We start from the raw sequence: 25607 nt of genomic DNA, 5'->3' as shown, positions 1-25607 counted from the left end.
GACGCCCACCCAGCCTCCAGGCGCAGGAGCTCTCGGCCGCGCTAGGCCAGGGGCGGGAAGCCGCGGCACCCCTCTCCGCGGGCTGCGCTTGGCGGCTGGCGCGGGGGAGCCGCGGGGCGAGGCAAGCCCGCCTTCCTCCCCAACCCCCCCTCCAAACGGCGTCACCTGTGCCGGGTCCCGGGGCGAGTCGCGCGCGGGCGGCGGCTGCGCCGAGCCGGGAGAGGGCGGCGGGTGTCTACAGGAGTCTGCTCATCCGGGCCGGCCCGAGGGCTGGCGCTGGCCAGTGCCGCCCGGTGAGATGCTCACGGGAGCCAGGGAAGCCGCGGGTTCCGGGCCGCTTGGAGGTGCAGTCGCGGAGGCTCCAGCTACCGCGGCGGCCGTCGCGCCCGCCCGGACTGCGGGCTCGGGTTACCGCAGAGCTGCTCCTTAAAGGGGCCGCGGCCGCTCGGGCTCCGGCTCCCGCTCCGGGCGGCTCCGACCCTGGCCAAAGTGGGCGGGGCCCCGAGGCGGGCCGCCGAGCAGACCTTCTTGCCCTGGAACTTGGGTCCCGGAAAGAGCCCAAAAACCCTAACACCCGAAGTCGCAGCGGAGAGATCCTGGAAGCTCACACCTTGCCAAGGGCAGAGGGTGCAATTCCCGGGTTTTCCAAAGCAAGTCACAAAACTTGCCAGCGGGGGAACTGTGTGAGCCCGCCCCCGCAGCGGTCAGTACCTGGGCTAGCCACGTAACAAAAAATCTTCTTAAATTATGAATTTACATTCTGCCTTAAATGCTCAAATACTGGGGACTTCATGGTTAGATCATCAGAAAAGAGATGAAAAGGCAACTGCTGGTTTTTCTTGCCACGTCTGACACGGCCACACTCGAGTCCCGCCAGTTCTTCTTTGGGGCTGCAGGTGCATACCAAACTGGTAGGGGGCGCGTGTAGAAGAAGCGTGTTCTCTCCAGCACCACCTCCAGAATTCCTGAAAAACACCCTCATGGGTGCACCAGCACTACACCTACACCCGGAACCCCTCTGTTGTCGGGGTGTGGAAGTTGGATTTGAATATTTGGTGCTGGCTGAGAATTCCAAGTTGCCTAGTAGATAAAGTTTGACATTAAATAGATGTTCTGACCTGTTATATACAGCCCCAAAAGCCTCCAAGTGATCTGCATCAACCAGAGATAATTGTCTGAAACAAAACAAAATAACAAAGAGGTATACTCATGCATTATAATTCGCAGAGAGCAATCACAAGGCCTTTTCTTGAAAAGAGGTAAGTTCTAAATAAATAATTTGTAAACACTATCATTGATAACAGGATATTTATTTCTAAGAAATGTCAATAGAGCTAACATATTTGATCTACTATATACATGCGCAGAAAGACACACATATCTGCCGCAGATTTAGACCAGAAAATATATACACAAAAGCTCATATAAGCTGTCCATGTTTATTTTCAAGAGAGGGCAATAGAATTTAAATCAGAACCTGGAATTCTGTCAGTTTATTAGAGTTGTGTGCCTTTAGCTAACTGAACCTCACTGAGGCTCAATTTCTTCATCTTTAAAATGGTAATAATAATTCATAGTGACTCTGAAGACCTGGACTGATGTGGAAAAGACAAAATCTATACCACAGAACAGGGAGGGACAGAAACCTGCCCTGCAGTCAAGCAGAGAGAAAGATCTTTCAGGCCCCCAAATGCGTGTTCCCCTTTTTCTCCCCAAGACTCTCAGGATGTACCAGGGCTCCAGTGCTCTTTGAACCACACGGTGTCCCATCATAGTCCCTTCACAATATGTGCAGTACCTGACAACTTTGGTTTGCGCAATAGCTACCTTGTGCACTCACATAGCTATTTCATAACTCTCTGTGGGCAGGATGGTTATATGTGAACATCTGTGAAGTCAGCCCAGAAAATACCAATTTCACAGTGTCCTCTCAAGAGTCTGTATCAACACTACCTCCTACAGAAACTCTCCCATGCTAGTCTCTGGTGGCTGATAGTAGCTCTGTTCTTTCCTGATAAATGCACCATCATTATCTTTGATATGCATAATTCTCTAACACCAACAGCAGTAACCAAAGCCAGGTAAACCCACAGAAATCCACTATACTCTATGTCCCACTATATTCCTTCATATTAGGCCTCTACAAATGCCTCATGAAAACTGCAAGATTGTTTTTGAGATTGTACAGAACATATAAGTTAATATATCAAGGACAAGGCCTGAGCTATGAGAGGAATTCAGTAAATAGTAGTTGAATGTTGCAAGTTTTAAGCTAATTAAAACTCAGTGACCTTAGGAGGTAGAAGAATACATCAACTGTATTTTTTCCTGAAAAATTCAGGGTAGCTTAATCTCTTTAAAAATATCCAGTTCATGGCTGGGTGCAGTGGCTCACGCCTGTAATCCCAGCACTTTGGGAGGCTGAGGCGGGCAGATCACCTGAGGTTGAGAGTTCGAGACCAGCCTGACCAACATGGAGAAACCCTGTCTCTACTAAAAATATAAAAAATTAGCCAGGCATGGTGGTGCTTGCCTATAATCTCAGCTACTCGAGAGGCTGAGGTAGGAAAATCGCTTGAACCTGGGAGGCAGAGGTTGTGTGAGCCGAGCTCACACCATAGCACTCCAGCCTGGGCAATAAGAGCGAAACTCTGTCTCAAAAACAAACATATATATTATATATATATATATATAATGTGTATATATATATATCCAGTTCATTAAATCTGTATTATTAATTGTTTCACCAATATTCCCTTTCCAAGGATACTTTCTCAGAATTCTGTATTTACCATATGAAGTTTTTCTGCATTTTAAATGGGATGTATAAAGACCGAATTGCACTTTTTATATTGTTATTCACTGAAACAGTTCAAGCAAACAGATCAGAGAAATGAAAGTATTTATCCACACTTGAAATGGGCAACAAATACAAAAACTCTTTTTTTTTTTTCTTTGAGACAGAGTCTTGCTCTGTTGCCCAGGCTGGAGTGCAGTGGTGCCATCTCGGATCACTGCAACCTCCGCCTTCCAGTTTCAGATCTCGTGCTTCAGCCTCCCGAATACCTGGGATCACAGGCATGCACCACCATGCTTGGCTAATTTTTGTATTTCTAATAGAGACGGGGTTTCACCATGTTGGCTAGGCCGGTCCCGAACTGCTGACCTCAAGTGATCCACCCACCTCGACTTCCCAAAGTGCTGGGATTACAGGCTACCATGTCCAGCCAAAAACTGTTTTAAATGAAGTAAGTTTTCCTGATGAATTTATTTTCCAAAATTCTTAATCTTCTGAATAGAACCAATTGTTTGAAAAACTAAGACCAAAAGCTGTTTTTTTTCTAAAAATTATAATTAAAGCAAAAATATTTTGAGAAGTTGCCTTAATTCTCCACTCTGCTCTGTTAGTGAAGATACAAACTAAATGACGCCAAACATTTTGATCAGAAAGGCTGAATTACTAAAAAATGAATAACCCCAAGCACTACTTTTTCCTGTGTTGGTAGTTTTAGTGTATTAAGAGTGTTTGTAGTTTTATAAGTGTTTAAAAATACTTTCACCAGGCACACTGGCTTATGTCTGTAATCCCAAGTGCTTTGGGAGACTGAGGCAGGAGGATTGCTTGAGACCAGGAGTTGGAGGCTGCAGTGAGCTGATATTGCACCACTGCACTCCAGCCTGGGTAACAGAGTGAGACCCTGTCTCTAAACAAACAAACAAACAAACCAAAAGGTTTTTTTAAAAGTACTTTCATTTGTTTTCAGATGAAACTATTTCAAGATATTACCAGTGGTTATTTCTGGGTGGGTGAGACTTTTTTTTTTAAGAGATAGGGTCTGCTATGCTGCCCATGCTGGGGTACAGGAGTACAGTGGCCAGTCACAGATACCATATCACATGACAGCCTCTAACTCCCAGGCATCTATGGAGGCAGCCCATAAAATACAGAAACAATCCTCCCCATTTAGCCTCTTAAATAGCTGAGACTACAGGCACACTCAGTTTTCTGGATGGATGAGATTCTGGCCATCTTTTTATGTTCTTTTTGCGCATTTTATTATATGTGATATATTTTCTACAATGTATGTGTATTGTTTTGTTTGCATTTTTATTTTTAGTGAAAGTAACACACATAAGTGAAAAATCAAATAATTCTTAAAGGCTTATAACAAAAAACATCAATGAGTGCCATCAGCCCCCGGCCCTGCTTCTCCCCACCTGTCTTCACCCTACATTCCACACAACCCTACCATGTTCTTCATCTCCTAAATGATAACCTTGTAACAGAATTTCTTGATTTTCAGTTTTACATATTCTTTATTGACATCTTATGGTATTTGAGGATTTAGCTCTTTTACCCACCACCACAACAACTTTGCCCTCATGCTTCCTTGCAACATAACCATATTACAATGTTCACTCAAATCAACAATTAGGGGCCAGGTGTGGTGGTTCATGCCTGTAATCCCAGCACTTTGGGAGGCCTAGACAGGCAGATCACCCGAGGTTAGGAGGTTGAGACCACCAGCCTGGCCAACATGGCGAAACCCCGTATCTACTAAAAATACGAAAAGTAGCTGGGCTTAGTGGCGCACGCCTGTAATCCCAGCTACTCAGGAGGCTGAGACAGGAGAATCGCTTGAACCCAGGAGGCAGAGGTTGCAGTGAGCCGAGATCGCGCCACTGCACTCCAGCCTGGGCGACAGAGCAAGACTCTGTCTCAAAAAAAAAAAAAAAAAGAAAGAAAAGAAAAAGAAATGTAGCTAAGGTTGGATGCAGTGGCTCACAACTGTAATTCCAACACTTTGGGAGGCCAAGGCAGGAGGATTGCTTGAGGTCAGGAGTTTAAGACCAGCCTGGGCAACTTAGTAAGACTATGTCTCTACAAGAATAAATAAATAAATAAAATAAAAATGTATCTAACCTAAATTTTAGATACAAATGCTTCAACATATCTATCAAATGCCCATCAATAATATCTTCCAATGCCCAAACACACAACTTTCAGTTTACTCTTTTATTTTGCCAGATCACAGACTCCAGTAGCTTACTCAGAAGAGGTACTAGAGGGTAAATTTTTAGAGTACTTGCCTGTCTGAAAATGTCTTCATTCTACTCTTATTCCTGACTGATAATTTAGATGGATTGAAAATTATTTTCCCTCAGCATTTTGAAAGCATTTTTCCAGTGTTGCCATTGAAATGTCTAATGCCTTTCTAGTTCCCACTCCTCTGTATCTGACCTATTTTTCTTTCTAGAATCTTCCATTTTCCCTAGTAGTCTGAAATGTCATATTGATGCACCTTACAAATAGGTCTTTTTTCAGTGGTTGTGCTGGATACCAAGCAGTCTTTTTTATCTCATTTGCAAATTTTTTCTTTTATTTATTTGCTGTTTTCCTCCCTTCCATTTTCTCTATTCTTTTTGTGAATTCTTGTTAGTAGGTTATTGGAACATCTATATTATTCTCTAAATGTATTGTCCTTTTATCCTATTGATCATCTCTGTATCTTTCTTATCTATTGTCTGAGATAGAGGTTCTCAAACGGGGCAGAAGGAGGAGAAGGTTGATTCCCCTGCCCCAGGAGACACGTGGCAATGTCTGGAGATATTCTTGGTTGTCGCCACAGGAAAGAGGGGGATGGTCTGGCATCTAGTGAGTAGAAGCCATGGATGCTGCTAACCGTCATACAATACACAGAGCAAACTTCCACACAAAGAATTTCCAGCACCAGATGGCAACTGTGCCAAGATTGAGACATCCTTGACCAAAATAATTCCTTAACCTTATCTTCCACCGAACTTTCTATTTCAAACACATTTGTCATTTCCAAGGGCTCTTTCCCATTCTCTGGTTAGACGTTTTGTTTATGAGAACGCTTCACCAAAGGATAAACTCCTTTCTCCAGAGGAGAAACTTCTAACCTCATAGAGGGATTGCATTGATAGTGGCAATGTTAGGGTGGAGGGCATGAGTGCAGGCTGCCTGAATGAGGTGGAGAAGGGACCCAGGGGTCCAAGAGCCTAGTGAACCATTATACAGCAATCTTCCTTTTTCAGCCTGTGCCCTGCCCCTGCCTTCCACAGTCCACTGCACCATCAAGTGCTAAGTTTCCTCCAAGCACTGAGGTTAGCCTCTCTTCCATTTTGCCAAGCCAGTTATCACTTCTCTGTCCAATTTCTGGCTTTTACAATTTATTGAAATCTCTTATCTGTTGTAGACTTTTCTCCTATTCCCTTTTTCCTTGTGGCTTATATCTTGTAAACATCTTTCTACACTATCATTTTCATGTCATTTTGCAAAGAATACATGATAAACACCTCTGGTCGTTCCATAATTAAACAGGAGAGGCTTATTTTTTCATTTTGAAAATAATTAATAACAGAAAGGGATCCAGAACAAAGAACACAGTTATTATTTTGTAAATGTCTTTCATTTCTTTTCTTTTCTTTTCTTTTTTTTTGTTTTGTTTTGTTTTGTTTTGTTTTAAGAGACACAATCTGTCTGTCTTCCAGGCTGGAGTGCAGTGGTATGAGCATAGCTCACCGTAATCTTGAGCTGCAGGGCTCAAGCAATCCTCCCACCTCAGCCTCCTGAGTAGCTGGGTAGGTGCACACTACCACACCCAGATAATCTTTTTTTTTTTTTATTTTATGTGGAGATAGTCTTGCTCTGTTGCCTAGGCTGGTCTCAAATACCTTGCCTCAAGCAATCCTCCTGCTTTGGCCTCCCAAAGCACTGGGATTACAGGAATGAGCCACCACACCTGGCCAATTTTTCATAAATCTCTAACGTTTTTAAATTATGCTAAAATGTTATGGATATTTTTAGATTTTATAAATTAGTTGAAATTTATGTTATCAATCACCAGTTTATATGCTTATAACTTTTAGATCCTTTTTTTTTTTTTTTTTTACTTTTCTTTTGAGACAGAATCTTGCCGTGTTGCCCAGGCTAGAGTGCATGGGGCAATCTCAGCTCACTGCAACCTCCACCTGTAGGAGGCATGCACTACAGGCATGCGCCACCACACCTGGCTACTTTTTTAAATTTTTTGTAGAGACAGAGTGTTGCCATGTTGTGCAGGTTGGTCTTGAACTCCTGGACTCAAGTAATCTGCCCATCTTGGCCTCCCAAAGTGCTGGGATTACAGGCGTGAGCCACCGCACCTGGCCTAGATCCATTTATTGAATGTCCTCCTCGATATTTTTCCATGCATACTTGCATATACTTTCGGTTTTATTTCAATGACAAAAAGATTACATATTTTGTAAGTGCTCTGTTACATTCAATGAATTTAACATAATGTATTTAACCAATCCCTTATTGTTGGACATTTAGGGATCTTGTTGTTGGATGAAATTTTCCATTTCTCACATAAAGCAAAGTAGTAATGTCTGACTAAAAATTAATTTTAAAATTCAAACCCAGCTTCAAATTTAATAGGGAAATTTGGAGGATTCCTGCTCAGGTCAACAGGACAAAAGGGTTGCTCGTTCTTCCCCTACTAATTAATGTGGGGCTGAAAGTATCAGTCAAAGGAACTAGAGGAAAGACAGAAAGTAAAGATATAATTATTGACAAAAAAAGTGTAAAACTGTCATTTCTATATTATATGATTTTATACCTATAAATCAAGTGAAATATATATATTTTTTAAATATACATTTTTTCAGTTGATTTTTTTGGTATACATATGTATATCCTCACATGTACGTGTATATGTATACCCAAAATATCAACTAAAAAATATATAAACAATAAAAAATTTAAGTGTGGGAGCAGGAAAAAAATTAATTTACCAAAATTGTTTGTGTGTGTGTATATATATATATATATATATATATATATATATATATATATATATATGCATACACACATTATGTGTATGTAGTACAAACAGATAAACAATACTCTTACAAAATAAAAGAAGAAAAAGACATAATCGCAACAAAAAGTGTGTAGGGGTAATTAACAAAAAATATGCAAAACTGGCTGGGCATGGTGACTCACGCTTGTAATACCAACACTTTGGGAGGCTGAGGCAGGTGAATCACTTGAGATCAGGAGTTCAAGACCAGCCTGGCCAACATGGTGAAACCCCGTCTCTACTAAAAATACAAAAAATTAGCCAGGTATGGTTGCACACGCCTGTAGTCCCACCTACTTGGGAGGCTGAGGTGGGAGAATCCCTTGAACCCAGGAGGCGGAGGTTGCAGTAAGCAGAGATCATACCACTGAACTCCAGCCTGGGCAACAGAGCAAGATTCCATCTCAAAAAAAAAAAAAATGCAAAACTTACATGAGAAAAACATTAAAACACTCCTGCAGGACACAAGAGTAGACTTGAACAAATGAAAATCAGACCAGGTTTTGGAGAGAAAAAGTCAATGTATGTAAATGCTCTCTAAGTTTTAATTTTATTTATTTATTTATTTAAAGTCAGGGTCTCACTCTGTCGCCCAGGCTGGAGGGCAGTGGCACAATTTTGGCTCAAATGAGATCTCCCTCCCTGTAGCATCAACCTCCTGGGCCCAAACAGTCTTCCCACCTCAGCCTCCTGGATAGCTGGGACTGTAGGCACACCCACCAGGCCTGGCTAATTTTTGTATTTTTTGCAGAGACGGGGTTTTGCCTTCTTGCCCAGGCTGGTCTCAAACTCCTAAGCTCAAGCTATCTGCCCACCTCAGCCTCTCAAAGTCCTGGGATTACAGGTGTGAGCCACTGCACGTGCCCCTAATTTTTAAATGTATTACAATATCAATGAAAACACTAATTGGCAATTTTCTGGAATAGGACAAAATGATTCCAAAGTCCACATGGGAAAATAAACAAACAAGTTTACCAGAAGAACAATTTTTAAAAGATCAGTGAGGAAGGAATAACCTTCTGTATATTAAAAAATACTATAGAATCTCAATAATTAATACTTTGGGATTTCCAATGGAATAGATAGGCTAATGGAATTAAATAGAAAGCCCAGAAATAGACCCAAATAAGCAGCATCTCAAGTCAGTGGGGTAAGATGGACACTTGAATAAATGGATAGCACCTGGAAAAAATAAAGTTAAATCTATGTCTCATTCTGTATGCTAGTAAATATTCCAAATGGGCCAAAGACTTAAATGCAAAATACGAATATACAAATGTATTACAAAGGCCAGGGATGGTGGCTCACACCTATAATGCCAGCATTTTGGGAGGCCAAGATGGGAGGATTGCTTAAGCCCAGGAGTTTGATACCAGCCTGGGCAACATAGTGAGACCTCCTCTCTAGAAAAAATCAAAAAATGAGGTGGGAGAATGGCTGAGCCCAGAAGGTCAAAACCAGAGTGAGCCATGATTGCACCACGGCACTCCCACCTGGATGACAGAGCAAAACAGAAACAAAAACAAAAAAATGCATTCCATGAAAATATGGATGAATTCTCTCCTTACGTTGGAATTCGTAAAAAGGAATGGGAAGGCCTAACTGTGACTCAAAATCTAAAAGCCATAAAAGATTAATAAATCTAACTAATTAAAAAATCAGAAACTACTACCTGGCAAAAATAACAATAATAGCATAAGCAAGGATGAGACACAAATTACAAACTGGAAAAAATATCTGATATTCAAATCACAGATAAATATATAAGAAGCTTATATATCAAAGAAGAAAAAGACCAGACACTCGAGAGAAAATTAGAAAACATGAACAGATATCACAGAAAAAGAAAAATAAAGGACCTTTACACATTATAAATGGTCTTCATTTGTAAAACTATATGCAAATTAAAACCAACCAACCTCATCCCATAAACATATTGTTATTCTACTTCCTCACTACTCTTTGACTTAGGAGCATTCATCTCTCACGACAGCCTCTTCAGATTGGTCTCCCCACCATCATTTTTGAAAAAGAGGGAAATTTACAAAGCTATATCTTTTTTTGTTTAATTCTAGATCTAAAATGCCTTGTTAACAGACGTTGCTTGGATAATACTAGAGTATCACTGTTTATCAGCATATAAAAATTCCTGCTTACTGTTTTGAAACATGAAGAACCCATACATCAATATGATTAAAATCAGAACTAACATGTTCCCTATCCTGTTCCTATGTACGATTTTTAAAAATAAAGTTGATAAACTATTCATAAGTGGTTTTCATAGACCTTATAGCTAAATACAACTTTAGAGTTTAGAAGTATTCCTTAGTATAAAGAGCCCCTGCTCTACTGCCATCCCCTGCTAAAATATTCAATTCCAAAAGAATCATATTTTTGTAGTGATATAAACCAACCACTTCACAGAGACAAAAAACTACCCTAAAAATAATTAAAAATTAAAAGAGCAAATTTTTTTTGTTTGTTTGTTTAAGACAGAGTCTTGCTCTGTCGCCCAGGCTGAAGTGCAGTGGCGCAATCTCGGCTCACTGCAAGCTTCGCCTCCTGGGTTCACGCCATTCTCCTGCCTCAGCCTCCCGAGTAGGTGGGACTACAGGCGCCCACCACCACGCCCGGCTAATTTTTTGTATTTTTAGTAGAGACAGGGTTTCACCGTGTTAGCCAGGATGGTCTCGATCTCCTGACCTCATGATCCGCATGCCTTGGCCTCCCAAAGTGCTGGGATTACAGGCGTGAGCCACCGCGCCCGGCCTAAAAGAACTATTTTTATGACTGTTGTTAAATATGCAAACATATTATCTCCCTTACAAATTTCTTATCTCCCAATAAAATTTACCTCATGTTATTACAACTATCATTCCTGCAATGGTGTTACTATAAGCAGCTCAACCCATACATATGAATCATGTGTATCACTAACCGAAGTTCCTGTTTTAGACATTCTATATGAGAAGTCAGAAGCATCGAAAATGACAGTTATTATTTTTATGGAAAATGCATATGCTGCATTCAGATCTCCCACTTAATCTTGACCTGCATGCTGTGCATTTTAATTAAAAAGCATTTTTTGTCCTCCAGCAAGTAACGGTTTTGAAAATTACCCATTGCCATCCCTTTTCAAAATATTTTTGTTATACTTTGCAATATATTAATAATTTTTTATTTGGTTTTGTTGTTGTTGTTTTGTCTGTTTGTTTGTTTTGAGATGGGTCACACTCTGTCACTCAGGTTGGAGTGTAGCGGTGCCATCTCGGCTCCCTGCAACTTCCACATCCCACGTTCAAGCAATCCTTCCACCTCAGCCTCCTGAGTAGCTTGGACCACAGGCATGCACTACTACGCCCAGCCAATTTTTGGTAGAGACAGAATTTCACCATGTCGCCCAGGCTGGTCTCGGACTCCTGAGCTCAAGCAATCCACCCGCCTCGGCCTGCCAAAGTGGTAGGATTACAGGCGTGAGCCACCACACCTGGCCCTTTTTTGATTTTAAAAAGAAAACAATCTAGTTTTAGGGGAAAGGATATTTTAAGGGGATTTATTTTCAATAAGGAAAATTATGTTTAAAGTCTCAGATTTTAAAATTCTCTGTGGTAAGTAGAAAATACAAGATAATTTCACAAACATATCAAATTGAAATGAAGTTGAAGTAAATGTCAGGATTTTTTAGCATTGAAATTGTTTCTTTTGTTACAGGTAAGAAACTCACTTTACCTCTTAACATTTATAGATAGAAATTGAGGTCTTCAGAATTTGAGCCTTTCTCAATAACAAGTTCTTAAATGGAATATTATCTACAGTGATTATCTCTCCATATGGCTATGGCTACAGGATCCACTAAGCCATCAGGAAGACCTGGGGGTCATCATTGACTTCCTCCTCGTCCCACAGAAGCATTCAGTGTCTGCATTAGAACAACTGCCTCCAAACTAGTCCTCTTTGCAGTAGTCTTCTTTCTGCACTCGTCCTTTCTTTTTTCTTTTCTTTTTTTTTTTTTTTTTTAAGACGGAGTCTCGCTCTGTCACCCAGGCTGGAGTGCAGTGGTGCAATCTCGGCTCACTGCAAACTCCGCCTCGCGGGTTCACGCCATTCTCTTGTCTCAGCCTCGCGAGTAGCTGGGACTACAGGCACCCGCCACCACGTCTGGCTAATTTTTTGTATTTTTAGTAGAGACAGGGTTTCACCGTGTTAGCCAGGATGGTCTCGATCTCCTGGCCTCGTGATCCGCCCGCCTCGGCCTCCCAAAGTGCTGGGATTACAGGCGTGAGCCACCGCGCCCGGCCATGCACTCATCCTTTCTAATTAGTCTCTATTGCTGCCACCAATAAAAATAAATAAATATTTTCTGAATTTAGAAACAAATGAAGTAATATATTCATCCAAAATCCAGCTTTTCTGGACAAGTGCCTAATTATCAAAACCCACCACCCATGGAGGAGGCAAGATTATGGTACATTAAAGTCCAAAGTACAATTCTAAGTCTCACAACTGTTCTGAGAGTGAAATCACTGAATACACCTGGATTATCAATTACCTGAAGACAATCTAGTTTCAGGGAAAAGGATATTTCAGGGAATTTATTTTCAATAAATCTGTCTTATGCAGATAGTCCCTGACTTAAAATAGTCCAGCTTAACAATTTTTCGACTTTACAATGCAGTGAAATGCATTCCTTCAAGATTCTTCTACTGAATGCGTTTCATTGCATTGTCAAGTTGATCTTTTCCCAGGCTGGTGATATGTGGTACAATTATACTCTCTCCTGATGCTAGGCGAAATCATCTAACACAAAGCCTATTTTATAATAAAGTACTGAATATCTTGTATAATTTATTGAATACTGTACTGAAAGTATTATTTTTTTTTATTGTTATTGAGTCAGAGTCTCACTCTGCCACCCAGGCTGGAGTGCAGTGGTGTGATCAGGGCGCACGGCAGCCTTGACCATCTGGGATCAATCAATCCACGCCTGCCTCAACCTCCCAAGTAGCTAGGACTACACGTGCACCCCACCATGCCCAGCTAATTTTTTGTAGAGATGGGGCTTCGCCATGTTGGCCAGGCTGGTCTTGAACTTCTGAGCTCAAGAAATTCACCCACCTCAGCTTCCCAAAGTGCTGGGATTTCTGGTGTGAGCCATGCTAAAAATGTTCTGAGCATGTTTAAAGTAGGCTGGGCTAAGCTATGATGTTCAGTAGATTAGGCATGTTAAACGCTTTTTTTTTTTTTTTTTGAGACGGAGTCTCGCTGTCCCCCAGGCTGGAGTGCAGTGGCGCGATCTCAGCTCATTGCAGGCTCCGCCCCCCGGAGTTCATGCCACTCGTCTGCCTCAGCCTCCCGAGTAGCTGGGACTACAGGCACCCGCCACCTTGCCCAGCTAATTTTTTTGTATTTTTAGTAGAGATGGGGTTTCATTGTGTTAGCCAGCATGGTCTCGATCTCCTGACCTCCTGATCCGCCCGCCTCGGCCTCCCAAAGTGCTGGGATTACAGGCGTGAGCCACCGTGCCTGGCCCGTTAAACGCATTTTTGACTTAGTGTATTTTCCATTTATGATGGGTTCGTCAGTACACAACACCATCCTAAGTAAAGGAGCATCTGTACACCTTTGCAACTTACATTGCACCCTGCAAGGTGGGTGCTATCTAAGTGTTCCCATTGTTCTCAGCTTGTCAAGGAACTCGCTTAGGAAGCTCAAAGTTCTGTGGCTGAGGGAGAGTCTTACCTGATAATCTACATTCTAGAGAGAATGATGTGTTTCTCCTCCTTCTTTATCCTAAGCAATTACCTAAAGTTAATAAAATACAGCCAAGTGATGTAAAGGGCTGCTTTGCCTCCCCTTTTATGGCTCCTACAAAGCCCTCTGGTTTGTTGATAAAATCCTCTACCAGGTATTTAAAAATCTATCAGCATTTGGCTTTTTAACACTGTTTTAGGCACACAGTGTTCTGTTAGTACAGAAAGAGAAAGTCATCCTCTTAATGTATCAACATAGAGGTGAAATGAACTTGATTTCAGTTCACTTTGTCTTAATCCAAATTATTAATTCGTTTAACAAATAATGCACATTGTAAGAGTATCATGGGAAACTTTGAAAACAATTGTGTAAATTCTGATTGCTAGTCGTACAAGACATTCTTGGGAAATAAAAAACCATAACCAATAGCTAAATACACCACTGTCGAATTTCAACACTTGTCAAATTGATTTGTAGGGGATGGGATGAACAAAAAGAGCTGAAATTCAAAATCATGTCTCCTAAATAATTTAGATGTGGTTTTAATAATTTTAGTCTTCTTTGGCTTGTACCATTACAACAGTAAAGCCCAATCATTCTATAAGAATGTCAATATAAAAATAACTCACTGACATCCTTCTTATTCCTTCATCTCTCTGAACCAGAATTCAGCCCTTCCTCTAGTTTCTACAGGAAATTATCTCTAAACATTTCACGATTCTCCCCAACTTAACATAAGAGTAGGGGGTTCCTGAGAAGTTGAGTAGAACTTCTACGAGCTCTATCTTCCAACCTCTCTTCTTTCCTACATAGGAGTTGAAGAAACATCTTCTGTTGATTAAATCCAATGGAGTTTCACTGCCTACCTAAAGTAGTTCTTCTGGCCAGGTTCAGTGGCTCACGTCTGTAATCCCAGCACTTTGGGTGGCTGAGGCGGGTGCATCACCTGAGGTCAGCAGCTCAAGACCAGCCCAGCCAACGTGGTGAAACCCTGTCTCTACTAAAAATATAAAAATTAGACGGGCATGGTGGCGCATGCCTGTAATCTCAGCTACTCAGGAGGCTGAGGCAGGAGAATCACTTGAACCTGGGAGGCGGAGGTTGCAGTGAGCCAAGATCGTGCCATTGCACTCCAGCCTGGGCAACGAAGCAAGACTCAGTCTCAAAAAAAAAAATTTTTTTTTTAAAAAGTAGTTCTTCCAAACAAATACACTACTCTTGCTAAAGGAAGTTCTGCAAATATATATATATATAGTACTTTATCCACTGCTTTTGCTCTCATTTCTCAATTAGCTCTTGCTGCATTCCCCTAGCCCTTGAGCTTTCCATCTCAAAGTTTTGATAATTCCTTGAACCTGAGAACATAACGGTCTTTTCTGCTTTGATTCTTAGCTCTAAATTTTGCAATTAACCTTTTGCTCAGTTCACTTCTGCCCACTCCAGGTTCTTACCTACCTTGAAATCCATCTTAGCTTTGGCTTAACCCTGTCCTCCCTGTTCCCCCAATCCACTAAGGTGAATCTGGTATCAATTCCACGTATGCCATCTAAAACTCATTCTTGAGCTTCAGACCTATATTCCCAAGACTCTACTATGTTTTCCCAGGTTCTTCAAATGCAATAAAATATATAACTCATGATCCCTCCTCCTTTCCATACTCTTCTTTCTCTGAGTTCACGAAGTCATCATCCTTCTAATCACCCAATCTAGAGACTTCAATTTTCCTAGACTCCTCCCTCTTGCTCAGCTCTCTCTATCCAAGTACACAGCAAATTCTGTCAGTCAGACTCCCTATGTATTTTTCATTTACTTACTTCCTCTACCCTTACTCTCACTCACCAAATTTAGACCTGTATACCACCCTTTTCCTCTTATGTCTCCCTGGCATCATACCAAGTTAATAATTTCCTTTCCATCTTCTCCCATTGCTCAGTACCACATGTTTCACACAAAATAGACCCTCAATAAATATCCATTGGTTATAGAAGAGTCCTCAAATCCTTGTGATCTCATATCTTTTCTTTTCTTGTCATTCATAAGTTGTCTCTCTCTCTCCGCAACTTCATGCCTCTTCAGAATTCTTCTGACCTGCTGTTGGTTATCTTCTTTTCACCTCAAATCAAAATCGTTCTCTTACTCTTTATTGCCTATTAACTAAATGTGTTAATGTCCACCATTTGAGCTCAAACCTACATTTCCATTTTTACTGTTCATACTCTTTACTCATTCTCACCAAATCCAACTACTAGTCATTCTCCATTTTCCTGCATCTCTACCTTTGCTCATGTTGCCCCCAACACACACACTGTCTTTTCCTCCCATCTTTTCTTGTCAAAACTTTCCTAGTTAAGGCTGAGAATTTCTCTCTCCCTCTTTTCTCATTTGAGAGTTTAAGCAAATGTATATCTTGCTTTGTACAGGTACTTTATTTCTCCTACCAGGAAAGCAGTATCATAGAGTTGTTCAAAGCAGTGTTTTTCACACCACCTGCAACAGAATAACTGGAGTCATGTTAAAAAGACAAAAACAAACAAAAAACCTTGTAAATCAGAGTTTCTTGAGGTAGAACACAGAGCTCTGCACTTTAAAAAGAAGCTCCTGGCTGGGCAATGTGGCTCCCAACACCTTGGGAGGCTCAGGTGGGAGGATCTCTTAAGGTCAGGAGTTTGAGACCAGCCTGAGTGACATAGCAAGACTCCATCTCTACAAAATACACACACACACACACACACACACACACACACACACACTTTAATTAGTCAGGCACAATGGCACGCACCTGTAGTCCCAGCTACTTGGGAGGCTGAGACTGCAGTGAGTTTCAGACTGCAGTGAGCTATGATCACGCCACTGTACTCTAGCGTGGGTGACAGAGCAAGACCCTTTCTCTAAATAAATGAAACAAAAATAAAAAGAAGCTCCCCAGTAAGGTGTACAGTAAAGTTAGAGACCTAGGCCAGGCACGGTGGCTCACGCCTATAATCCTAGCACTTTGGGAGGCTGAGGCGGGTGGATCACGAGGTCAGAAGTTCAAGACCAGCCTGGCCAAGATGGTGAAACCACCATCTCTACTAAAAATACAAAAAGTAGCCGGGCACATTGGCGGGCGCCTGTAATCCCAGCTACTTGGGAGGCTGAGGCAGGAGAATCACTTGAACCCAGGAGGCAGAGGTTGCAGTGAGCTGAGATTGCGCCACTGCACTCTAGCCTGGGCAAAGAGCAAGACTCTGTCTCAAAAAAAAAAAAAAAAGTTGGAGACCTTTGAGTTGCATAAATGGGCCTTGAAGTCAGAATTGGGGTTGCATTCCAGTTATATCTTTCTTAAAAGATAATTTTCAGAAAAAGCTAAAATCATGACTGACACAGATAGAAAAGGAAATAATGTCAAAGATTTTATTTAACTAACTCAGTGAGGGAACCAGGCAGATGTTACAACCTGTTTTTAAGCAAATCTGAAAAAGACATATTTATACTGAGTTGTAAAATGGCTCAAAGACAATTAAAGGCAGGAATCAGATGATCTGGAAGGTGTCCTCTAAACAATGTAGAATTTTCTTTTTCTTTTTTATTATTATTATTATTTTTTGAGACAGAGTCTCACTCTGTTGTCCAGGCTGGTGTGCAGTGGCACAATCTCAGCTCACTGCAACCTCTGCCTCCTGGGTTCAAGTGATTCTCATGCCTTAGCCTCTGGAGTAGCTGGGATTACAGGCATGCACCATCATGCCCAGCTAATTTTTGTATTTTTAGTAGAGACAAGGTTTTACCATGTTGGCCAGGCTAGTCTCAAACTCCTGACCTCAGGTGATTTGCCTGCCTCAGCCTCCCAAAGTGCTGGGATTACAGGCGTGAGCCACCGCACCCAGCCAGCAATGCAGGATTTTCTATTGAAACATAAATTTTTTGTACACCTTTTCATAGCTATATGACTTTGAGTGTGTTACTTAACTTCTCTGAGCCTGTTATTTTATCTGTAAAATAGTGACAATAAGATTTTTTTACGTTTGTGAATTTCTTTATTCTATATGTATATATATGCATATACATATTTTTTTTGAGATGGGGTCTCACTCTGTTGTCCAGGTCTCTACCTCCTAGGCTCAAGCGATCCTCCCACCTCAGCCTCCCAAGTAGTGGGGACCATGGCCTGAGCCACCATGCCCAGCTAATTTTTGTATTTTTTGTGTTTTTAGTAGAGGGGGGGTTTCACCAAGTCGCCCAGGCTGGTCTCGAACTCCTGGACTCAAGTGATTTGCCTGCCTCAGCCTCCCAAAGTGCTGGGATTATAGACGTGAGCCACCGTACCTGACCAAATAGTGATAATAAGATTTTATAATTAAAAAAAAAAAACTTTCATGGGGATAATACCTAATAGAGTTGGTGAGAATTGAATGAGTTAATGAGTACCAAGAGTTTAGGACAGTGTAGAGCAAATTATACTCAATAAACATTACATCATTGTTGTCATCATCATCATTGTTGTAGTAACTATAAGTTCCTTGAGGATCATTCTTGTTTATTAATGAATGTATATATATGCAATCAATTAATCAAAGTATATTAAATACCTACTTATGCTAGGTTTGGATGAATAATAAAATAGTTCCTGTCTTCAAGGAGTCCAGACTAGCAGAGGAAATGAGGACTTAAACAAATAACTACATGTGATATAATAAATAAAAATAGAGTTTTTTAGCACAATTGACAAAATGACTAACCATGTGTAGAGTGTACAGAGTGCATACAGAAAGTCATTGTAAATGTGAATTTGAGCTGAATCTTAAAAGATGAGCAGGTAATCACTAAGGAAGCACAATGTGGTAATAACTATTATCCTAGATCATGTTGTTCTTATTTAGTTTGTGCAAGATCCGTATAATAACGATTCATTTCTGAGTAGAGAGGGGGTTTCACCATGTCGCCCAGGCTGGTCTTGAACTTCTGGACTCAAGTGATTTGCCCGCCTCACCCTCCCAAAGTGCTGGAATTATAGGCGTGAGCCACCGTGCCTGACCAAATAGTGATGATAAGATAATACTTACTATGTGTCAGGCACTATTCTAAAGAAACATCATTACCCTGTTCTTTTTTTTTTTTTTTTTTTTTTGAGACAGAGTTTCACTCTTGTTGCCCAGGCTGGAGTGCAATGGCACGATCTCGGCTCACCACAACCTCCGCTTCAAGTGATTCTCCTGCCTCAGCCTCCCGAGCAGCTGGGATTACAGGCATGCGCCACCACACCCGGCTAATTTTGTATTTAGAGAGACCGGGTTTCTCCATGTTGGTCAGGCTGGTCTTGAACTCCTGACCTCAGGTGATCCACCCACCTCGGCCTCCCAAAGTGCTGGGATTACAGGTGTGAGCCACCGCACCCAGCCTATCCCGTTCTAGAAAAACCCTGAGGCTTACAGAAGCCTAGCAACTTTCCCAAGATGATACAGCCACTGAGACGCAAGACCACAATTCATTACAGATAACCTGTTTCCAAACTGAGGAAAGATCATCTCAATTTTTCTAACAGGAGAATCAAAATCCAGAGAGATTAGGAGATCTCAAAAAAGAGATTTATCAGAACTTGGGTCTCTGGTTTTGAAGCCTAGGCAGATGGGGAGGAAGAATACCACAGAATGAGAGAGAACATGCAAAACCACGGAAGCACAGAGGAGCTGGGCATGTCCCCAGGAACCACAAATGTTTGGAACTCAATATGCGTTTATGGAAACAGCAGGAGAAGCTAAGGCCACTAAAGTGGTCAAGGATTATGAAAAATAAACTATGCCACACCGAATTACATAGACTCTGCCCTGGAGGAAATGAGGAAACAATGAAGGATTTTAAGCAAGAGAATAAGGAGAACAAAGGTTTAGAAATGGGGCAGGGCAACCAGTTATGAGGCAGCGAGGACTAGTGTTATTGAGATCAAGAGTATTGAAGTCAAAAAAACCACCAGTTATTATGACTTTAGGAAAGAGAACCTCTTTGAGCCAGAATCTTCTCATCTCTAAAATGAATATAATAAAGGGCTATTATGAGGCCTAAATGAGAGTACACAGATCATTGTGCTATATAGATCTGATACTGTATATCGGATCTAGTCAGCATTCAATAAATGATGGTGGTAACTGTTTTTTGTTATTAATGTTGTTACGATACAAATATATTGAGAGCTAGTTTCCATCTATTTGAAGGAAGAATATATGAAATACACTTACTGATGCTCTTTTGCTTAGGTTGTTTAGAAATAAAACTAATGCTGCTTGATTTGTTCAGGAGCAGTAAATTGATCTATATCAAAACAGCAAAGCCCCAGGAGCACAAAGAGAACTAGATTTCAGGAATGGCATGAAGTTAAGAGTTCCGTTTATCAACTATTTCTTGTGTCCCTACGGTGTGTCTAATACTCTATTAAGTGGAACATATATAAAAGTTACGACACCATCTCCTTTCAAAAGGGGGCAAGAGTCTACAATACAGTTCCTTTGGTTGATTTCCTCTGTTCCTGATTCCTGGTGTCCTCTCTCATTTACAACCTCACACACACCTCTTAGGTATTTACACTACTCCTGTGGAAGTGATCTGGGTTTCCCTACTTCGTTACTCCCATCTTGGACTACCTCCTTTTCCTGGCTCCTCCAGCTGGATGAGTTGGATTACACATTTTTTGATACAAACCAGTATCTCACTGTGGTCCAAGAAACCCTGATACTAGAGTGAAGTTTAACCATTTCTCTCATAGCTGGCAGTAGAATTCTTCTCAGAGGAAAACATCTTGAGTCATTATATATAGATGGTGTGCCTAGAGAACTTGGGTTAATAAGAGACAGGAATAACAAGAAGGACTGTTCTATATCAGAAATTAATTTGGAATCAGTAGTGTCACTACAGTTTACAATAATCTATTGTATATTCTAAAATAGCTATAAGAGAATAATTTGAATTTTAGCATAAAGGCAAATATTTAAGGTGATGGATATCCTAATTACATTGATTTGATATTTACAAAGTATATAAAGGTATTAAATTATCACATGTACCCTGAAAATATGTACATCTATTATGTATCAAGAAAAAAAACATTTTTAAGGGGAAGAAAAAGAAATTAACTTGGAGATGTGGAAGGAGTTGGGGACAAGACAGAAGAGATGAGAAAGAGTGAAAAGAAAGGGATGGCAGAGTAACTTCATGGTATGCCTAAAATACTTTTTTAAAATGTGTAATATTCTAAGTTACTTGTATTTCTTTAACTCCCCTCATTTCTTCCAAATTTCCAGTAGGCTTTCCACTACCCCTAAATTCTCATACCTCTGCAAGACGCACACATGGTGTGAGGGGAGGTGCTGGTGAGGTAAATGAAGAAACCACAGGATGGGGCCGAGTTGCACTGCTATATCAAAAAGGAGCAGAAAGGAGATAGCACACCTAGAGTCCAGTGAAATAGTCCATAAACTGAACCCATTAGCGGGGGCCAGAGGTAGTGCTGAAATCACGTCTGGAAAATTGGCAGGATACTTCATGAAACACTATATAATGTAAGAGTTGTGTAATAGGGGCTTGAGTCAATATTATCTAGTTTAAAAACAAAACGGATGATCCCAACTGATATCTGGGTCATGATTTCCTCAGAGACATTGACTATTTTGGCACAATCTATAGGTTTGCCTTTCCAAAGTTCTTACTGTCCCTTCCGCAAAGCTATCCACCCTTGTCTTACCCCAGGTTACTGCAACAGTCTCCCTGGGATCAGCAAATAACTTCTTAAAGAATCATACAGTAAATAGGTCAGGCTTTGTGGGCCAGATGGTCATAGTTACTCATCTCTACACCTAAGGCCGGAAAACAGCAACAGCCAATACATAAATGGTTCAATACAAAGGTTATGTTCCAATAAACCTTTATTTACAAAAACAGGCAGTGGACCTTCTGTCCTGCTCTTTCTGTTCTCCAGTTGTTGTCAAGGTACTCTTTCAAAATGTCACTCCTCTACTTAAAATTTGAATGGCTAATTGGTAGAGAATAACCTCAGATTGCTTGAACTGTTACCTACAATCCAAAGCCTGCTGTTAGTGTACCTTCTGCTTTGCAGCTGTAGCTTGCAGAGAGATTGAGGAAACACAACTCCGATACTTTCTGATGCAATGACTAAAGTCTTGAATGGTTTCACATCTGCCTTCCTCTCTAAACTTAATTTGTTTATCTTCCCTTTGGCTCCTGATCGCTTACCTCATATCTTGTTTGCAGTCTTGTATACAGTGTACTTTATATGTTGTAATTTTTCTCTTAAAGCAATTTTGGTTTGCCTTTCTGACCAATACTCACTTTTCAAATATCATGTGGTGTGAATATTCCATGTGGCAAGCCTACATGACTTAATCATTTAGTCCTTACTTAATTCTCACAATAATACTATGAGGGATTTCTTTTTATTATTCTCATTTTACAGTATACATAATTAAGACCTAAAGAGGTGCCGGCGCGGTGGCTCACGCCTGTAATCCCAGCACTTTGGGAGGCTGAGGCGGGTGGATCACAAGGTCAGGAGACTGAAACCATCCTGGCTAACACGGTGAAACCCTGTCTCTACTAAAAATACAAAAGATTAGCTGGGCTTGGTGGCAGGCACCTGTAATCCCAGCTACTTGGGAGGCTGAGGCAGGAGAATCACTTGAACCCAGGAGGTGGAAGTTGCAGTGAGCCGAGATCACGCCACTGCACTCCAGCCTGGGAGACAGAGCAACTCTGTCTCAAAAATAAAAATAAAAATAAAAATAAAAACCCTAAAGAGGTTAAGTAATGTGCCGAGAAACAGAACAAGTGGCAGAGCTGACATATGAAGGTAGAAAGTCTGACTCCAGAGCACAAGTTTGTCACTTTACACTAATTTGTAGTTTCTCTAGGACCATGTCTGTTTTTGACCTCCTTGAAAACTGCTCCTGTGTGACCCCAGCAGTCTTCTGTAGTACTCCTGCAAGTTTCATTCTGAATCTTAGGTACAGTATGATTGGATCCAAGGCAATCATGACATTTATTAAGCATAGCCACCGTGCTAAGTGCTGTTCATTTGTTATGTCATTTAACCTTCACAGATCCTAGTAAGAAAGATAAGGTTATCTTCATTTTACAGATGAAGAAATACAGGCACAAATAATGTGTTCAAGGTCACATTAGAAGAGGAGCTAGAATTTAAACTCGTGTAGTCTGACTCCACAACTCATACTCATGGATGCACAAGTAAGTAGAAAGCCTGAAGAATTCCTCAGGTCTCATACTGTGGGTGAAGTTAAATTATTCAGGCTTTAATTATCCAGGATAGGCGATAAGGGAGTAAGTATGTTTTAGTTATTTATTGCTGCCTAACATATGATCACAAAACTTAGTGGCTTAAAACAACAATCATTTATGGGTTAACAATTCTGTGGGTCAGTATTTGGGCTGGATTTAGCTGGGAAGTTCTTCTGCTGGTTTCACCTGAGCTCATTCATGTGGTGACAGTCACCTGGAAGGTTGGTGGGTTCTTGATGGTCCAGATAAACTCTCTGGTGATCAAGACCAGTTCACAGATGTTTAACCTGTGCAGTGGCATACAGCACTCACTTAGAAGGGTTTATCACTCTGTTGTTGCCGTTTAAAAATTATCAATAATTATGGTACAAGAGATCTCACTGGGCCTTGCAAGTTGGTGCTGGATGTCAGCTGGGCATCTTTCTCCATGTAGACTCTTATCCTCAAAGAGGCTAGCCAGCCAGGCATGGTGTAATCCCAAAACCTTGGGAGGCCAAGGTAGGAGGATCACTTGAGCCCAGAAGTTAAAGACCGGCCTGGGAAACAGTGAGACTCCATCTCTACCAAAAAAAAAAAAAATGCAATTAGCCAGATGTGAGGGCATGCACTTTTAGTCCCAGCTACTTGGGAGGCTGAGGTGGGAGGATTGCTTGAGCCACAGAGGTTGAGGCTGCAGTGAGCCATGATGGCACCAATGCACTCCAACCTGGGTGACAGAGTGAGACCTTGTATCAGAAAAAAGGGAGGTGCTTAGCCCAAGTTTCTTCACATGATGACAGGAACTTTCCAAGAGACTGAGAGCAAGGCTTCTTAAGGTCCAGGCTCAAAATTCCCATATCATTATTTTTTATGCATTTTTTTGGTCAAAACAAGTCATAGGCCAACCCGGACACAATGAAGTAAAGGTCTGGAGTCCATCTCTTAATGAGAAAAACAGAAAAGTCACATTGCACAGGGTCATATATAAAGGGATGGGACAAGATTATGACTATTTATTGCAATCTACCACAGAAGAGATATGTGGTTAAGGTAAAAGGAAATAATTTCAGTTTGGGACATGTTATAGTTGAAGTCTCTCCTGTGGTAAATTCATGCAAAGGTATCCAGTATTTGGATAACATATATGTGTCTAGAACATAGAAGAGAATCCTGGTTGGACATACGAATTTCGGAATTGTCAATATGCAGGTAATAGGTTTCTGAATAAACAGATCAATACTCCCAAAAAGACTGCATTACATGAAGGTGAAGGCTAACAAAGAGATATAGTCAATCCCTTGGGACACCCAAACATCTGAGTGGACTCTTCTTCACATACAGCTCAATCTCCCTCTCTACCTGTGGTCCTATCTACTTTCTGCAGCCAGCTCAAGGTCAGTACCTCTGGGGGAAGTACAGCCTACTCTGATACATCCAGATATGACTGCTTACAGTCCGATGACCCATAACATAAAAGAAAGATACTCAATCCCCACTTTCAACCCAATATGCAAGGTTAGAACAGAAACAGAATTAACCACAATAAAAACTTCCATTTGAAAAATAAAAGAATGGAAACCTGACACAATCAGTAGTCCTTAATTGCTTGTTCGTTTGTTTTCTTTCCAAGCAGAAATCTCTCCACTGGCCATGAAAGAAATTCCTTGATTAGCCTCATCTGGGCCCCTGGGTTCACCCTCTGGGAGGTTCTTCCTTGTGCATTATTCTTCAGGTTAAAAATTGAAGTGGATGTTGGAGAATATGTTTTCCTAGAGACTGCCTTAGGATATGAACAATGACTGGCATTTCCAAGTCAGATTTGTGGTTTCTTTAGCAATAGAATTTCTTCAAAAACTTAGTACAAGGCCAAGTGTGGTGACTCACACCTGTAATCCCAGCACTCTGGGAGGCTGAGGTGGGCAGATCACCTGAGGTCAGGAGTTCAAGACCAGCCTGTCCAACATGGGGAAACCCTGTCTCTACTAAAAATACAAAAAGTAGCTGGGCATGGTGGCACTCACTTGTAATCCCAGCTACTTGGGAGGCTGAGGCACAAGACTCACTTGAACCCAGGAGACAGAAGTTGCCGTGAGCCAAGGTAGTGTGTCTGGAATTGGTGGGTTCTTGGTCTTACTGACTTGAAGAATGAAGCCGCGGACCTTCGCGGTGAGTGTTACAGCTCTTAAGGTGGCGCGTCTGGAGTTTGTTCCTTCTGATGTTCGGATGTGTTCAGAGTTTCTTCCTTCTGGTAGGTTCGTGGTCTTGCTGGCTTCAGGAGTGAAGCTGCAGACCTTCGCGGTGAGTGTTACAGCTCATAAAAGCAGTGTAGACCTAAAGAGTGAGCAGTAGCAAGATTTATTGCAAAGAACGAAAGAACAAAGCTTCCACAGTGTGGAAGGGGACCCGAGCGGGTTGCCACTGCTGGCTCGGGCAGCCTGCTTTTATTCTCTTATCTGGCCTCACCCACATCCTGCTGATTGGTAGAGCCCAGTGGTCTGTTTTGACAAGGCGCTGATTGGTGCGTTTACAATCCCTGAGCTAGACACAAAGGTTCTTTACGTCCTTACTAGATTAGCTAGATACAGAGTGTGGACACAAAGGTTCTCCAAGTCCCCACCAGAGTAGCTAGATACAGAGTGTCGATTGGTGCATTCACAAACCTTGAGCTAGACACAGGGTGCTGATTGGTGTATTTACAATCCCTGAGCTAGACATAAAGGTTCTCCA

The 25607-nt window shown here is 41.3% G+C and overlaps 1 protein-coding gene across 2 annotated transcripts in view, besides 7 other annotated features; it reads right to left on the bottom strand.

The window, feature by feature from the left end:
* TLCD4 (TLC domain containing 4) overlaps positions 1 to 25266 on the bottom strand; it is a 105091-nt gene extending 79825 nt beyond the window's left edge. The window contains exon 1 of one of the 2 annotated variants that reach the window (NM_001199679.2): positions 24902 to 25266. The gene's annotated coding sequence lies outside the window, so the exon portion shown is untranslated. Of the gene's footprint in view, positions 1 to 165; positions 429 to 24901 lie in introns of those variants that run through there. The other variant, NM_152487.3, reaches the window with a different exon arrangement.
* Positions 68 to 347: a silencer, noted in NCBI's record as "silent region_1103". NCBI's record gives its function as "represses an Ori minimal core promoter by ATAC-STARR-seq in GM12878 lymphoblastoid cells {active_cell/tissue: GM12878}" and the evidence as "EXISTENCE:reporter gene assay evidence [ECO:0000049][PMID:35858748]".
* Positions 68 to 421: a biological region, named in NCBI's record as "ReSE screen-validated silencer GRCh37_chr1:95582918-95583064".
* Positions 275 to 421: a silencer, noted in NCBI's record as "fragment chr1:95582918-95583064 (GRCh37/hg19 assembly coordinates)". NCBI's record gives its function as "represses an EF-1alpha promoter that drives an FKBP-Casp9 reporter gene in an ReSE screen in K562 erythroleukemia cells {active_cell/tissue: K562}" and the evidence as "EXISTENCE:reporter gene assay evidence [ECO:0000049][PMID:32094911]".
* Positions 1676 to 2203: a transcriptional cis regulatory region, noted in NCBI's record as "candidate enhancer chr1.7359 targeted for multiplex CRISPR interference". NCBI's record gives its function as "positively regulates TLCD4 gene expression with high confidence in K562 cells {active_cell/tissue: K562}" and the evidence as "EXISTENCE:mutant phenotype evidence [ECO:0000015][PMID:30612741]".
* Positions 3815 to 4044: a transcriptional cis regulatory region, noted in NCBI's record as "candidate enhancer chr1.7358 targeted for multiplex CRISPR interference". NCBI's record gives its function as "positively regulates TLCD4 gene expression with high confidence in K562 cells {active_cell/tissue: K562}" and the evidence as "EXISTENCE:mutant phenotype evidence [ECO:0000015][PMID:30612741]".
* Positions 6454 to 6730: a transcriptional cis regulatory region, noted in NCBI's record as "candidate enhancer chr1.7357 targeted for multiplex CRISPR interference". NCBI's record gives its function as "positively regulates TLCD4 gene expression with high confidence in K562 cells {active_cell/tissue: K562}" and the evidence as "EXISTENCE:mutant phenotype evidence [ECO:0000015][PMID:30612741]".
* Positions 21611 to 21670: an enhancer, noted in NCBI's record as "active region_1354". NCBI's record gives its function as "activates an Ori minimal core promoter by ATAC-STARR-seq in GM12878 lymphoblastoid cells {active_cell/tissue: GM12878}" and the evidence as "EXISTENCE:reporter gene assay evidence [ECO:0000049][PMID:35858748]".
* Positions 25267 to 25607: the final 341 nt, after the last annotated feature.

The sequence above is a fragment of the Homo sapiens genome, chromosome 1 (genome assembly GCF_000001405.40).
Source record: "Homo sapiens chromosome 1, GRCh38.p14 Primary Assembly".
In the NCBI taxonomy this organism is placed as follows: domain Eukaryota; kingdom Metazoa; phylum Chordata; class Mammalia; order Primates; family Hominidae; genus Homo; species Homo sapiens.
This window is presented reverse-complemented; position numbering and strand designations above follow the sequence as displayed.